The sequence below is a fragment of the Homo sapiens genome, chromosome 18 (assembly GCF_000001405.40).
Source record: "Homo sapiens chromosome 18, GRCh38.p14 Primary Assembly".
In the NCBI taxonomy this organism is placed as follows: domain Eukaryota; kingdom Metazoa; phylum Chordata; class Mammalia; order Primates; family Hominidae; genus Homo; species Homo sapiens.
The window spans coordinates 55,344,751-55,361,161 of NC_000018.10; the positions used below are offsets into that span (position 1 = coordinate 55,344,751).

The 16,411-nt window shown below is 35.7% G+C and overlaps 1 protein-coding gene across 40 annotated transcripts in view, besides 3 other annotated features; it reads right to left on the minus strand.

Annotated features, from left to right (window-relative positions):
• TCF4 (transcription factor 4) overlaps nt 1–16,411 on the minus strand; it is a 413,773-nt gene that overhangs the window by 122,566 nt on the left and 274,796 nt on the right. For 28 of the 40 annotated variants that reach the window (NM_001243226.3, NM_001369577.1, NM_001369582.1 and 25 more), the window contains 2 exons: nt 6,124–6,253; nt 5,609–5,658 (listed from right to left, as the gene is read on the minus strand). In NM_001243226.3, coding sequence (NP_001230155.2) covers nt 5,609–5,658; nt 6,124–6,253 — 180 coding nt within the window. The remainder of the gene's footprint in view (nt 1–5,608; nt 5,659–6,123; nt 6,254–16,411) is intronic. The other 12 variants (NM_001369584.1, NM_001369576.1, NM_001369569.1 and 9 more) reach the window with 1 other exon arrangement.
• Nucleotides 5,623–6,318: an enhancer, noted in NCBI's record as "NANOG-H3K4me1 hESC enhancer chr18:53017604-53018299 (GRCh37/hg19 assembly coordinates)". NCBI's record gives its function as "activates a minimal SCP1, AML or CMV promoter by ChIP-STARR-seq in primed H9 embryonic stem cells {active_cell/tissue: H9 hESC(primed)}" and the evidence as "EXISTENCE:reporter gene assay evidence [ECO:0000049][PMID:30033119]".
• Nucleotides 6,697–8,063: an enhancer, noted in NCBI's record as "VISTA enhancer hs1537". NCBI's record gives its function as "enhancer in: forebrain[5/6]" and the evidence as "EXISTENCE:transgenic organism evidence [ECO:0001131][PMID:17130149]".
• Nucleotides 6,950–7,789: an enhancer, noted in NCBI's record as "OCT4-NANOG hESC enhancer chr18:53018931-53019770 (GRCh37/hg19 assembly coordinates)". NCBI's record gives its function as "activates a minimal SCP1, AML or CMV promoter by ChIP-STARR-seq in naive H9 embryonic stem cells {active_cell/tissue: H9 hESC(naive)}" and the evidence as "EXISTENCE:reporter gene assay evidence [ECO:0000049][PMID:30033119]".

A 16,411-nucleotide genomic window follows, 5' to 3' on the forward strand; every position in this document is an offset into this window, starting at 1 on the left:
TAGAAAAATGGGGTGCTGCTGGCCAGGAAGGCTTCTTTCTGGGGGAAGGAATGAACTGGTGGTGTTTTGTTTGAGTGTTTGGGGCATACAACCTTTTTGTTTGTAAAGATAAAGCAGGAATAGCTCAAAAATACACAAACCTTTCATCCACAGTTAACCTTCATGCTTGTCTTTTCCTTTATATTTCTTCTCTCTTTCTATCTAAAATATGCACACCAGAAGCCTTCTTTCTTAAAGGGTGCAGGATTGGGCTTCAAGGCAGAGAAGAGGAGGATAGTGGATGAAGGAGCTCATTATTCCAAAATTCCAAACAAAAATTCAGAAATCCTTGAGCAAACTTCTGGGATATTAGAATGCCTAATAGTATGTATGTTGAGTATGTGCAAGCCTCTTGTGTGCTTTCTGAAAAATTTTTAATGGAACAAAAGCCTCCAATCAAAACAAATATAAAGATTCTCCTATATTTTTTCATATATCAGCAATTCATAAAAATCATAAACTCTATAGTCTCAATGTGTAATAGAGAAGATAAGATTGGTTTTCACAAAAAAAAAAAAACGCACATGCTGAACTAGAAGTCTGGTTTAGCAAATTCAGCATTAACTGCACACACACAAAAATACTTTCTCTGTCATGAATATTTTCTCAGCTTTCACTGTTCCCCATTGTCATGTTATATATGCCGTGTAAATTGTGTGAATAGTTTTGTCCTATTTGAGATGACTTAATTGTGCCACTCTTAACCTCCTTCTTGCCTAAACATTAATAAGCACAATTTTAATATCCAAACCTCATATTCCAATATCTTTAATTAGAAAATGGGCACACTAAGTTTAAAAGTGAATACTGAGAGCTATCTTAATATTTTAAACACTTAACAATTATACTTCTTCACAAAGTATCTATCCCTGCAGGGATGAACCTTGAAGAGTTTCCTCCTTTTACGTCTTACCACACAATCGGCTACTTCCAGACTTTCCTAAAAAGGATAGAGCCCAGATGGCTGATATTTCGTTCACTTGTGATCGATATCATATTTCAATAAAACTTTCATCTTAAAGAAAATTGTATTATTACTTGTTAAAATTTGTTGACATGAAAAAGCATCGTTCTGATTTCCCTATGATCAATTTCAAAAGTGATGTAGGAAATTATATATTTCTGAGTTCAGTACTGATTTTTTAAATCATACATAATTTCCAGCCCACTAATAAGGAAAAAACAGTTTACCAATATCTCTTTTAAATTGTTTGTGATTTCTTCAAGCACCTGGGATAAAAGGGGTTTTCCCTAAATAGCTCAAGATATGGATTCAACATCATGTTTGAAATCTTCAAATAGGAAAGTTTTTATATAACACAAAATACATAGGACATTTAAGGCCATTAGCATTACTCATTTTTCTTGATACCCCTAATAATTGCTTCTGTAAAGGAAACTCTAATCCATACTTAAATATTTCATTTTATTTAAGAATTCTTTCCTTATGAAAATTGGTGAACCTAATATCTAATACACATTGTTTTTATTTTTCAAACCTACCTACTGATTAACTAATGTCACAAATATTCTTGAAGCGTCCAAACCTTATTTTAGAATCTTTATAGTAGTAGAAATTGTTTATCTTGGGATCCATGTGTCCCAAATTATCTCTGACCACTTAAAGTTTGCCAGGTCCTCCTGAGTTTTAAAACAAAACAGACACACAAAACCCCTCTGTACTTTAACGTAGAAAAAAGACTTTACTGAGAAGTACAGCTTTAGGAAAGATCACTGGAGATGAGAGGTCATAAACTATTTCTAAGGATAAAATATCCTATTTCCAGAAAAATCTGATGTTCAAGAGATTCCAACTGGGGTCATGGTGAGACCATCATTAAAGATGCAAATCGGATTACAAGTGGAGACAAATTCCACCAAAGTCTGAAGTAGAAAGTTTGTAGTTGTTAACAGTTTCTGATAAAACGTATATAATTTTGAAATATTTCAAATTCTAAGATAAAAGTTTTACATGTTTACATGTTGATGGGCAGAATAAAGTTTCCAAAAGATAATGCCTTTGCTTTGTTTCTGTGTTTGATGAAAGTATCTTAAAACAGCACAATATAAAATTTTTTGCTACTTTCTAGATTTTAGTACTTTCATGTTAATTTCTGTTAAGAATCATAAATCATTTTTTTCCAACTTTAATTTACTATAGTACATTTTTCTGTGTATGAATTCATGATTCAATGTGTATGATTATTAGGTTATATAAAACAAATTTGTTGAAATGAGCAGTAAAGTTGCAAAATATTGAGTTTAAGATGAAATATGGTTTGAAATGGAAAACCAAAATGTAGAAATCTAGCAAAACAAGATGTTCTCATGTAGATTCAAGAGCTTAGACATGCAAAATAAATTCTGACATCAACAAAAGACAACACTTTATTACTAAGGTCTTCGCAAAAAACGAGGGCTACGAGAAATTGGGACGTGACTAAAAAGAGCAACATACTAAAATACGAACCGAGAAGATAAAAATGTACTGCAGTAATAAGCAGAGCTCTCGTGGGCAATTAGATAGCTGTCTTTCACACAGGCTTTCCTTTAAAAAAAAAATCACCTTAGCAAGTACTGGTCTATGTGCACTAGAGGGACAGGCTTCCCCCCGACACGCTGTGCTTGTCCTGTAGACCCTGCCTGGTGGGTCTTCTGTTATCCCACCATCGTGTCATACTTCCACAGTGACGTGAGGTCTCTAGGTGCAGCACACAGTACAAACACACATTCGTGGATCCTGCCAGATCCATGGCATGATGTCTGGCCAGGCCTACGTTTTCTCTCTCCCACAGATGCTGCAGTGTTTTCAAAACAGGGCTAGGCAATCCCCTCTCTCTCCTGATTGCCTGGGAGGAAGACCCAGCCTAATGGCGGCAGAAGTCCAGTCTCTGTACCACAGGCGTGTCACAAATAATACCTGATGATGCAGTGTCACCGTTTAAGTTTTCTTCCTTTTATTATAAGGGAAAGAGAGGGCCCACTTCAAAATGGGGGGTAAAGTGAGTTGCCACAACAGATTGTGACAGATTTATTACTATTTGTCATGGTAAATATGTATCAAAGAAAACATATAAGTGTCTTATGTAGTCATAATCACTCCAAAGGAAACCTTTTATTATCTCCAATCTTTTAGTATCTGTTATACAAATACTCATACATACTGAAACAATTTAAGAAGTATCTCTTATCAAATAGTCATAATTTTATTTGAGCTTTAAAAAAAGCATGGCAGAGGTCTAAAAATATAGAAATACAGATCTGCTACTAGAAAAGTGTGACCATGTCTACTGCAGACCTTTTTTGGAATCAAGTTAAAATAAATATTTTGTGTGGTGGTAAGCCATGTGGATCTTGTTGTAAGTAATAAGCAATTGATATTTACAACAAAGCTTACATAAACTAAGTTAAATTGCTATGAAAATAGAGCTGGGATTTTTTTAGGTAATGAGTAAATGGATGATTAAATTATAAAATTACCTAAACTTGTTCTTCTTGCTCAAAAAATTGCAATAAAAATTTCATTTTGAATTGTATTTTCTTCCTCCTTATATTTCAGAAAAAAGGCTATTCATCAAAATGTTTCATAAGGACCATGAAAACATTTAGTCAAGATAAATCTTCTAAGAAGAGTAAATCCTAAACTGACCACTAAAAACAGAAAATTAAATAGAATAAAACTAAATTCCTAATTCCCAAGTTTTGTTTATTGGGAAAGAAAGGAAAATTATTTTTATATTTCTGAATGTATCACGACATAGCAGCAACACCTAAATTGTCTTAACAGCAAAGAAAACACTGTACCAGTAAAATTTTCTAAAGGGGCCAGTTAGCTATAGGGAAATACTTAAACATTTACAACGAATTATGAAAATTGTTGTTGACAGTGATTAAGCAGATACATACCATCCAATGCCACACCAATGCACTCCTTAGAAATTGTCTAGATTTCTGCCTAATCTTAGCATTGGATAAAACAAGTTAATTTGAATATGAAGCATAAGGAGGGTATGATAGCTTTAAGTTTTTTATGGCTTTTATAGGACAGTTATTCCATTGTTTCAGAACATTCAAAGGTCCACCAAATGCATTTAATATTGTCCATATTAAGTTCAGGCATGTTTAAAATGTAAACAGCTGTTAGGACTGTATCATTTGAAGTTGTCATAAAACCTATTAAAAGCTAAAGTTTCATCAACATTAAATCCACCCCTAACTTCAAGCTTAAAATATGCTTATAAAATCCTTTGGGCATATTAGTCAATTTCAATACAACACAGAAATTCAAACAATAAACAACTGAGTACAATTTTAAGTGACTTATTGCTAGTTGAAAGTGACTATACACCATTGGCAATCTTATTTACACAATATTTTTCTATATTTATGAATAATTTTGTGATGCTTCTTCAACATCACCAACTCTATGATAATCAGCATACAAAATTTACTCTTTTTCCTGATAAGACTTATTCTGATATATTCATTTAATAATTGTTTGGATGAGCTGAACTGAAATCAAGTCAAATACACAGGTGTTTGGGTTAATCTAATCTTAGCACATTTGCAAGACCTATTATTCTTCTAATACATTAAAAATGAAATGAAACTAATATGCAAGCATTGATTGGTAATATACTTTAAGAAATCTAAATATGATTTTATATTAAAGTATAAAAACAATAAGTCTCAGCATTCTTTTCAAAGAATACTAGTACTCTACAGAATTAAATCAAAACTTTATATCACAGCAAGGAAGAATGAAAAAAAGGAGGAAGGATAAAGAAACAAAGAAAGAAGAGAGGAAACTATGTTTTCATTTTATATGAGGAGAAAATTACTAGAAATGGACTAGTCCTAAATAAAATTAAATACAATTATCTAGGAACGTAAGAATTCAAAATATGATATCATGTATTGAGTTGTGATCACAACCAACTTTTGCTGTACTAGGGACCTGGGGGTGGGTGGGGGATATCAGCAACTTCTGCATAGAGCTCCAGCTGTTAAAAAGACCCAGAATGCTCTTGGTTACAGCTGACTACTTCTAGTTGTCACCTGGTAGTAAAGACACAAATGGCTACTGATGCAGCTACCTTTGCAGCCTTTATTCAGCAACCTCTCCAGAAAATAGAGACATTCTTCCTGCACTCTGGGCTGAAACCCATGTAAATTTTTCCTAAATCCTCTCCACAAATCTCCTTTCGCATGCAAATCCATAAATCATCATAATACTGACAAAGAATTTAACCAACACATGAAACTAATACTCATTCTCTTGCAAGCCCTGTACAGGTAAAACTCCTCAAACTTCAGGCACCTTTTCAAGGCTCTCTTTAGAGCTTAACCTGCTGAATATCAACATAACCACCCAGTCTTCCAGGATGTGCAATTAATCACTCCAATGTGGGTCAGGTGGCTGGATGTGCAGGTCATTTCTACCTCATCCACCTTCTAGATAAACGTGCTGCTCTGGGCGCATGGAAACTCATTTACTTCTATCTCCTTCCCATCAATACAAAACAGAACAAAATAAGCAATATACAAAGCAGAAACAAGCAGTACTTACTGAAGATGGCAAACCTGGAGGAACTTTTCGAACTTTCTTTGTCTGTACCTCTGAAAGAAAATGAAGATGCTTTCAGCTCCCAAATGCCCATTTTCCTAACTAAGATAGGTTAAACCACAAAGACTTCTAGATGATACCACATTTCCTTAAATCATTACCTTAGCAAACTGTAGTTACCACGATCACATTCGATTCTAGCAGAAATCAAATTCTGCTTTGTTCATAAAAATGAAGATATTTAACTTTTTGCTACTTTGATCTTTTAATAGCTTCCTTATGGGTGCAGCTAAGAGAAAACTAGACATAAGCAGACACCAAAAAAGTTCTGCTACCATAAGCTGTTAACGTACCTACTCAGTGTACTAGGGGGGAAGTCTCCAGGCTGACAACTGAGCCAAATTTTATGGTTTTCTTGGGGTGGGAGGTAGGATGGGGGGGCGATATTTTAAAGAAAGAAAGAAAAAAAGAAAAAGGCATAATCATCCCTCAGGCATTCAAACAAAGGAATACCTTACCCATGGCACTACTGTGAAGAGGCCTCCTTCGGGGATTATTGCTAGAATACTGATAGTACTGGGAACCAGGTTTGGTGGGCGAAAGGGTTCCTGGGTTGCCCATATCCATGTCACCTCCAAGGAGACTCTGCTAAAAGGTTAAAAAGGGAAAACAAACATATAAGGTTAATTTTTTACTTTCACCACCTCCCAACTGATTGTTAGTACTTAAACCAATGCAATAAAGCAAACAGCATCTGCTAAGCTGAGACAATTAAAACAAAACAAAAACCCAAAAGAAAGGCAGTCTAAGAAGCTATCACAAAGTTTGTGAATTTTTAATTCTTTACTTTTAGGAGGAAAGTAGATGATTCCCTTTAAACAATATTTTTTTAAGTCTTTTAAGATGACTCACGTTTTCATTTCACAAAACAAATGGCATTTATATAAGACTAATGTTTCCTTTCTCTAGACTGAGGCTCATATCTGGGAACTATTCATCCCCTTCCTTAACAAGAAGAACCTCATTTTGTGAACGCACACAACTTCCCCTGGCTGCATACACTGGGGGTAAGTGTAGCCTATGAACTCGACTGAGAACCCTGCCTCTCTGTACCGCATATCATGATTCTCCACGAACTGACATAGCACCCACAGAAGAGAAAATGCCAACTGAACCAAGAGGAAATTCAAATCCTCACACTAACTCTCAAAATTACAGAAATAGCAGATATTCCAAGCTAACAGCCACAAAGGACTTCAGAATGCCCTCTTGAGGTCTATCGGAAGCTAAGACACATCCCACAGATTAAACATTTACCTGAACACTAGAAAACTTCCACAATAACCTATCACAGTGTGACAATTATTAAACTTCTAAAAATGATGACATCAGAAAGATTATATAATATTACATTTTCTAAAAACTACATAGAAACTTACCCATAATATATAAATCGCTTGATTATACTCTGCATTGAACACATTGTTCTTTTAATTATTCTGATATGCAATAAAACAAGAGTAGATAGTACCATTTATATTAAGAACAAATTTACTATTTAATAAAGAAATTTTAAAATTAAGTACTAAAAATCTAACTTTATCGTTACTTGTAATCAACTTTTACTGACTGAACTAATTACTGTCCTTGATAAAGTACAGAATGTGTTTTCCCTAATCTAAATTCTAATCACCATGTCACTCACAACAGACTTAGGGATGCTTCACTAACACACTATTCACATGCAAAATACTCTAAATAGGCCAATTATGACTCTGCCCCTGTTCCCTGGTTAACCCGCTGAGAACTGAAAAATTTCACAAGGCAGTCACCAACTAAAACAAAGGGTCCTTGTTTTAAATTAAGACAGTCTTTTTGATTCCTAAATAGCTCAACAAAGTGGCATGTCTTCTAGTGAAAGCAGTTGGTCAAATATGACCCATAAGCTGGAAAATCAAAAATTCAAACCTCCCCTTTCCACCGCCATATAGCTAAATATCATAAAGAGAACCTCTCTATTCCAAGGGGTTTTTCTGAGTGTTGGATGAGTCATATATAAAGGACTAATCAGCTACTGACAAGCTCGCCTTTACTGATTCCAGTTTAAGACTTTTTCAAGAGATATGTAATAAACATTACTTCAAAATACAACTTCAAGGATGAGATTTCAGATTGAAAGCACATTTTGAGTAATAAACTCATTGCTAGTATCTTAATGTTTACCACATAAATACCTGATAAAACCAGATTTATCAGATAAAAATCTGACATCTGCATGCTCAACTATTGCCTCTTTTGAACTTATGAGACATATTAAAACACTACACAATGACAAACTAAAACATAAGGCTTATTATAATAAAGTTTTGCATAAATCAGAAATCTAGTAACAAATAATTTATCATTTAGGAGTGGCATTCAAAAGTTTTTGAATCTCAACCTAAATTTCACTCTTCGCATTTCTTATTAACAAAGAAAGTTACAGTGAAGTCTGTGTCCAAGTTTTCTTTGAAATTTCCATCAATAAAGCTGTGAATGATTTGAAATCACAACCTCCTTACAGTTTGGTAAATCTACGAATGAGTCTTCATTTCATTGGAAAGAGGAGTTTGAAAATAACTTTGTATTCTAGACACAAATCACCCCTATTTCTTCATTTTTCTTTCTCTAGAAGTATATTAAATATTCAGAAAACGGCTAAGCAAATATGTTGAAATGCTTGCTTGTGTTTTTAAATGAGTTTAACCATTGGTTAATTCCTCTTGGTCCTGGTGGCAAAGGTTTTCACTCTCAAGAAATTAAATGCATTCAAGGGGTCAACCTAAAAACACACACTTGCTATACTGTCTTTTAGCAGCATTCACAATAGAGCTGTGAAAAATATAAAATAACTACAAAACAGCTACAGGCTGTGGTTGACCTTATTGTTGTTAACTTAAAAGAAAATAATTTCATGGGCCAGTCATAATAAATCACGCATCCAACTCTTACATATGCAGGCGCAAGGACTATGTGCAGTAACATAGCACTAGGACCAGATAGCACTTACAAACCTTTAGTGGTTCCTGTTAATCTTTATTTTTTTCACAAAGCACATTCCTGTTTCTTTCTCCTTAGACCTGTTTGTTCCTATTTCTTTCTCACTTGGACAATAGAATCATTCTTCTAAAGCAACAAAAATAAACATTTCCTCACATTTAAGGGGGCCCTAAACACCTCCTTAGGGAAAATGAAGATAAAAATATATGTGTTCTTATTGTAGAGTATACTTATAAAGCGAACAATGACCATTTACTATTGTCTGGCCTTTACGTCAGATACTTAACTCTCTGTAGCAATGAGAAAGATAAATTTTCCACTGGCTGAAAAACCTGAGTTTATGAATTTTAAAAAGTGAATGGCGTTTGATTTAAAGTAAATTAAATTTTGCACAAAATGGATAAGGTATTTGTTTATATTATGAATTTACCTGCATATATAGATATAGCTCTGAAGACAAGTTTCTGCTTAATAAAAGTTAAGCTTGAAAACTACATCTACTTTCAAAATGGGCAAATTCATCCTGGCCTTAAATAGGATTATAATGGTTTTAGGTTTTTCACATTGTGCAAGCTCATGTTCTGCGGTTATGCTGGGTCCCAGTAGTAGGCTGCCCGAATCTGCCAGGAAACACTGGAGGCAGATGTGGCATCTGGCAGAGCTAACCTGTAAATCTTAAACCCATAGTTTAGCATTTTGCTTAACTGTCCACAGTGTGATGAGACAAGCCCTTCCCCTTACTCGCTCCTAATTTTTTTTCCCAAAAGACCTAAAATACTGTAACCAAAGAATAAAACACACTGACTTTATCAACCAGGTTGGAATGTTTTGGGGTTCACCCTCTGCAGCCAATTCCCCTGCAAATGGCCATTCCTAACTTGGCCATTCAAATCCCCAAATACAGCACTCTGTGAGTGTCTTTTTCAATTAAAATTTTGTTGTTTGTTTTACATCGGATTTGTTTGTTTTACATCAGATATAGGTCTCAGAATGTCTTTCGAACACATTCTCAACCCTGCCCCCATTCCTTTTCAGGGGAGCTTCTTAACAGCCTTGATCAACCACTGAACTTTGCTTATACAACCAAGAAAGCAAACCATGAATTAAACTTGAGTAACAGAAAAGCAGCATATATCTCAAATTAGATTTATAACTGAATGGTAATCAAAAATAGAACTCACTGCTTGAAGCTTAAATTATCAACTTTTTTCTAGTTAAACTAAAATCATCTTGCTCTGAACTATTATTTCATTTCAGTCAGCACTTTAAATGTAATGGGTGGGTGGTACATTTCTAAAAAGGAAGATTATATTTACACTTAATTATAGATATGACTGAGATCAGAGTACGATGAATACTGCTTTTTTGGCTTATAATTAATGCATCTAATAGGTGAATGACCTTGAATTTCAGAGTTGGAAACTGGAAGAGGGGAAAAAAGAAGTAGGAGAAAGAAAATCTCTGGAGAAAAGCAAATGTGCCCCTGGTTTCTCAGGGCTTTCTCGATTCTGCGTCACTCCCATTACGTTGTGATCCGGTATCAGACACAACATCTTGGGGGGATGTTGCAGAACAGAGAAAAGCAGTCTCAGATGAAACCAGATTAAGCTCTTTTTCTGAACTATTGCCAAATGCTTGTGAGTCTAATTCATGTTTGGGTATTCTAGTACTCACACAGCTGCAATTCCATTCTTTCATCACAAACCTAAGTGATGTATAGTGGCTTTGTATGGTGAACTGACTCTATAAAGCCAGGATTTTTTAAAATGTTAATATGGAAAAAAATTCTGAACCACTATAAAACTTATGAATGCAAAATATATGTGTAGGTATCTACCAGACTTTGTGGCATTAAATGCAAAATACACATTGAGTGAAATTACAAGTTAGATTTGTTTAAAATACCTTTTATCACAACCTAGGTCATTTCTACATAGCTAATTCTGCACAGAATCGGGTTTTCAAAGACACTGCTGAATAAGATTCCTAACAGCCATGGGGAAGTTTCTGTAAATCCCTGTCGAATAGTTGCTGCTGAATGTGCCATTCTGACCACAGAAGGGCCATTGCTGACTTACTACAGTAGCAGGAGGGGGGCGATAATTTTGCTGCTGTTGGCACTTACTCTGCAACCTAGAATATATCTCGCACCAAAGGGCAATGAAGAACACAGTATTTCCACCTGTCCACTTTTGAACTTCAAAGCTCAAAATTGAAGGTCAGTCTTTGGACAGTCTTCTTTCCTGATTCCTGAAGGTCCAAGAGTACACCTTTATAATTTATTTTTATTTCTGTCCTATGCTTGGTTTCAACAAAAGAGGACTTGGGTAACTTACAAAGACCAAGATATCTTGCAAATCAGGGACTTAAAAAACTGCTGTGCTGCAGAGAAATACAAATTACTGAAATTATTATTTAGCAAACATTTTTAAAGGTTTTTTGTCAGTGTTTTTTATTTCTACATTAAACATATCATGCACATTGTGTCTGTAACAAGTCAGAAGTAGAAGTCAAATCTATTAAGGAAAGAGGGAGGGCTTTAAGGTCAGACCAATCTGGTTGAACCTTAGCTCAAAGAAATACAGACAATGTATTTGGGGGTGAGTTATGCAACTGCTCTAAACCATACTTTCTTCCCGTGTAAAAAGGGACTAATAAGAGCTCTATCATAGGGTTATCAGGAATAGATGAAACAACATATGTAAAATGTTCCGCAGAGCCAGGGTCCAGCACAGAGCTTACCTCTTTCTTATGTCCCACACAAAACAGTCCCATATTACAATCCACTGATTATTATTGAAAAGATGCACCAAAAGTTATGAGTGATCATTAGATTCTCTATTTTCAGATTAAAAAGTACAAGCTGTGATAATAATTTGGAAAAGTTACTATAAAAAGTTAAAAATGAGTTATATATGGGAGTCTACATAACAAAGATGATAGCCTTATGGCCTAGAGCTACACTGGCAACAAGAAATGACTAGGTTTTTTCCATATTTAATAAAGAAATTGCCCAACAATCTTCATAATTAAATTTAAGTGGCCATGTTCCTGGAAATGCCACAAGGATGAGTTCAGTGGCTCCTTTAATTTTGCTTTTGCACGCATGAGCAAACTGCTACTGTTAATTCAACTATAGGTAAGATCAAAACTAGTTACAGTTAACCAACTAGATATACAAAAATAAGAAATGTGTTATATGCGATAGAATTTCATAAATCTTGTGATGTTACATTCGAACTCTTGCTACAGTATTGGTCACTGATAAATAACCTCAAATATGGTTCAATTTTGTGTTTTGCCACTTACGAGGGTAATTATAGGCATTTAATGAATTATTATGTTATACTTATCAAGCGTTGTTTTAAAAAAAATCTTTTACTTCTCCATGACATCACAAAAAAATAAAAATAAATGAATGCACTCCATAGGTTTGGTTGGAAATGTACGTAATTCCCAAAGAAATCAATTGCCTTAAACAAAATTATTTATTTTAGTAGTGATTGTATTTCACCAAACACTCAAAAATTCAAATACATTGTCTTTCCTTATAAGGAAACACACCACCTTATATTTAAATGTCATAATGTGATGCAAAGGTTGCCATGGTAACTAGTACTTAATGTATAACAGAGTAACAGTCAAGTAAAGACTCATGCATTTTGGTATGGAAATTACAACTGCCCAAGGGTTGGCCAGGTTTACGCATATACCTATTTGACTCTCATATTTTTAAAAAAGAATATATTATTTATTGTATACACTAAAGCGAGGAGGTTTTTTGATGGTTTCTGAAAATCCATTCTGGAATCCCAGGTCATCTATTATATATTAAAAGGGGGATTATATTTGTTGGCGGGAAGGTAGAAATTTAGCAAAAAGAAAACATTGAGACAATCAGTAACCTATAATAAAAAATGGATTTGAAGAAATCTTATGTAAACAATACAGAATTTAAGAAAACTATCTTCTTTGTCAGTTTAAGCTCCTTCTCAGTTCAGGAAGTTCATTTAATATATAATTCACTATGTAGTGAGTTGATATGCTATAATCACTACTTGCCTTAAAAATGTTTCCTTCAGCAATTTTGTGCCAAAGTAAAAATAGAACAATTTGAATATGACCTGTTAACATACTAGGGAATTAGCAACACTTTTGCTATAAATATAAACAAGTAGCTATAATAAATGTGCTGAAAAATATATTTGGCCAGGTTGCTATTTTAGCAAAATAAAGGCATATCAAACTGTCACAAGTCAGTCTTCATCATATTGGGTGGAAGTTCCATTTCAAGGTTGTTGTAAATATCTGCCCCTCTGAGCAACGATATATGACAGCCATTTTTATGTAGGTTGGCCTCCCTGGAAACAGGAACCAGGGTCATGTGGCCTACCCAGCACCCCACATAAAGGCTCAATTATAGCCTAATGGCCAACTCTGTAAGATATCACTATAACAAAGTGTCCCGCTAACAATCTGAACCTGTAAATAAGGTGACACCTCCATCACATGATGGGCGGAAATTGAGATTATCTGGAGAAGTAGTAAATGCTCAATGTAATCTTCAACTCATCCTGAAATTATTTAAGTCCTGACATTCCTTCCAAAGCTATGCACAGCTTCAAGCCAGTCTGCACTCGATGAGCACTAACTCTTTCCCTCCCAAGATTCTTTCTTGAATATCTGACCAAGAGTATATGGCGTAAAGGTCAAACTAGAGGATATGGCAGCTAAAAGAGGAAATGACTTCTTCATGTTTTAACTTTCTACAGTGCCTGGCGCAGAGACCTGCCATGGCACATGCTCACTAAATATTGAAGTAAATGCAGAACTAATGCTATTGATCAAATCGAGGTCTTAAATAACTACTGTGCTTCTGTTTTTTAGCATAAATCTTATCTTTGAGGCATTCCAACTACTACTGCTGCTCATCATAACCACCATAGTATTAGCATAGGTAGTAATAGTAGTATGAGGAGGAGGATGGGTGGATGTGAATATAAGAAGAGTGGCAAGGACGGTAGGTATAGCAGGAGCAGCAGCAGCTACAAGTCACAGTGTCTGCTAAGTGCCAGGCACAGGTGCAGATCCTTTACATGCTAACAAGGCAGATGCTACAAACCCCAATGTACAGATGGGGACATTCAGAGTGGTTATGTGACCTGACCAATGCCATGTGGCTGGCAAGCAGTGGAGCCAAGCTGGGAATTCAGTTAGGCTTGACTTCAAAGCCTATGCTAGTTCTCTGCTCCACACTCACCCGCTATCTTCTGTAAACTTGTTTTTTCTCCCTCTCCCACAACCATTAGAAGGCTCATTTTTAAGTCAAGAGCTTATCCTAAAATTTACTTCATAGGAGCCCATCTAATTAAGTAGGGTCAGACAAGCCCTGGTGTGAGTGCCACTTACCCCCTGGATAATCCTGGACAATCTGTCTAACCTTGGTGGGCAAAACTCCTTGCCTGGGAAATGTTGTATAAGAGTGCCTACCCATGGTAAGAATTCAGTTAGATAATACAAAGTGCTTAGCAAAGTTCCTAGCACTTACTGAGGCTTAATTGTAAGGAGTATATTTAAATATGTTGTACATTTTAAAATCTTACTATATACTAATACAGAATGTGTTATATTATAATGTAAGTTTGGAAGAAATGATGTGATGTATGGTATATAAGTCATGCATAGATAGATTATATATATTTCTAATAGGCCCAAGACATGTGAGGCTGTAGAACAGCATGCCCGCTTGGACAACTGAAATTTCAGTTCTTTAGTCTGATCCTCCCAATATCTCCACCTCTGCTCTCCACAGCTGCCTGCCATTCATCTTTAATCTTGATCTCCACAATGGGGTCAATCATCTTCTCTAAAAAGTTTCAAATTATTTTTCTTTTTGTTTATTATTATTTCTTTTCCCCCAGTCTTCTTTCATTTCAGTCCTCTTCCTTCTAGACGTTTCCTTCCACTTCATCTGAAAAATTCAACTGTTGTAACATTTATAGCCTTGTATGGAAAGTAACTCTTTTTCCTCCTTTCTAATCTGTGGGATCCTCAAGCGCAGAAAGTGAACTCTGATCATCTTTGTATTCCTGGCATCCAACAGGGTGGGCCCCGGTACACAGTATGCCCTCAGTAAAGGCCAACTGGATAAAATAATTTATTAGCTATGGAAGATGCTTGCATGATTTCAACCATCCCTAGTATAAATATGCCTTCTCCATCTCTACCCAGTAGACACGTAATTCCTCCATCTCTATATTCAGTCTTGTCCTCAGCGTTCCTCCTGTGCCTCTGGAGTGGTTTTTAAGAACATCACCTCATGAATGCTTCATACAAAACATAAAATTTGATCCTTAATATGCAAAAGGCTCAATGCCTCTTTTCCACAAAACTTCTGCTGATTCCTAATTACACTCTCAGTCCTTTAAAGTACATTTGAAGAGTAAGAACTTGTAATGTCTGTGAGGAAATCAGTTGTATGTTTTTCTAGACACATGATGGCTTACCTTTGTTCTTATCTATGACAGGTTTGGTTGAAAATGGTTAAATTTCTATAGTACATGGGGCTATTAAATGGTTCATCATTCACCCAAAGGGCCCGGTTCTAAAAAGAATTTGGAACAGGTGGGATAATGCAAGCCCTGCCCAGGAGAAACAGATTCAGTAGTGCCGTATTCTTTCAGTAGAAGAAACATTGCAGGAGAGAGGACAAAGAAATGGCAAGAGAAGGGAATGGTTATTGTGGGAACATAGCATATGAAATAGGTTAGGAGAACTTAAAACAGCTGGCTAAAAAAATGACTTCCCTTAGTAGGTAGCAAGGAAGTCTTAACATGACATTGAGCACTTGGAATCTACCTTCTTAACTACTGACAATAGGCTGGGTCAGCTAGGGTCAAAGCCACAAAAATAGCCATAGGAGACTAGAGACAGAACTTAGATAATCAAGACAACAACTTAAGAATTGAATTAAAATTTTGGTGTGTTTCTTCATAGGAAGTGATATGGCCCCATTTTTCTTAGGCTACACATGCATCAATTTGAACTCTTCCAACAATGCCAACTTTTCCAGAATGGCACCATTAAATACCTAAAAACAATCTTCTAACACTGAGGTCACCAAACATTTTTCTTGAAGGACCAGATAGAAAATATTTTAGTCATTGCTGGCCATGTGGTCTCTGTTGAAAACACCCAACTCTGCCATTGTTACGCTAAATCAACCATACATAATATGTAAATAAACAGGTCAGACAGTGTTCCAGTAAAATTTTATTTATAAAAAGAAGCTGTTGGTTGGATTTGGCCTTAAGCCATAATTTGCCCGCCCCCCACCCTTTTTTTTTTTTTTTTGAGAGAAGTCTCACTCTGCCACCAGGCTGGAGTGCAGTGGCGCAATCTTGGCTCACTGCAACCTCCAACTCCCAGGTTCAAGCGACTCTCCTGCCTCAGCCTCCCGAGTAGCTGGGCTACAGGTGCATGCCACCATGCCCAGCTAATTTTTGTATTTTTAGTTGAGATAGGGTTTCACCATGTTGGCCATGATGATTTCAATCTCTTGACCTCGTGATCCACCCGCGCTGGCCTCCCAAAGTGCTGGGATTACAGGCCTGAGCCACCACACCTGGCCTGCTAACCCCTTTTCTAAAAGAAAGCTACAGGACATATTCTCAACATTTGATTGCACTGCTGGGATAGAAATGTCATGAGATTTATGGATGCTATCTTCAGACTTCCCTCTCCCCATCATCCAACCTCACCTAGAAC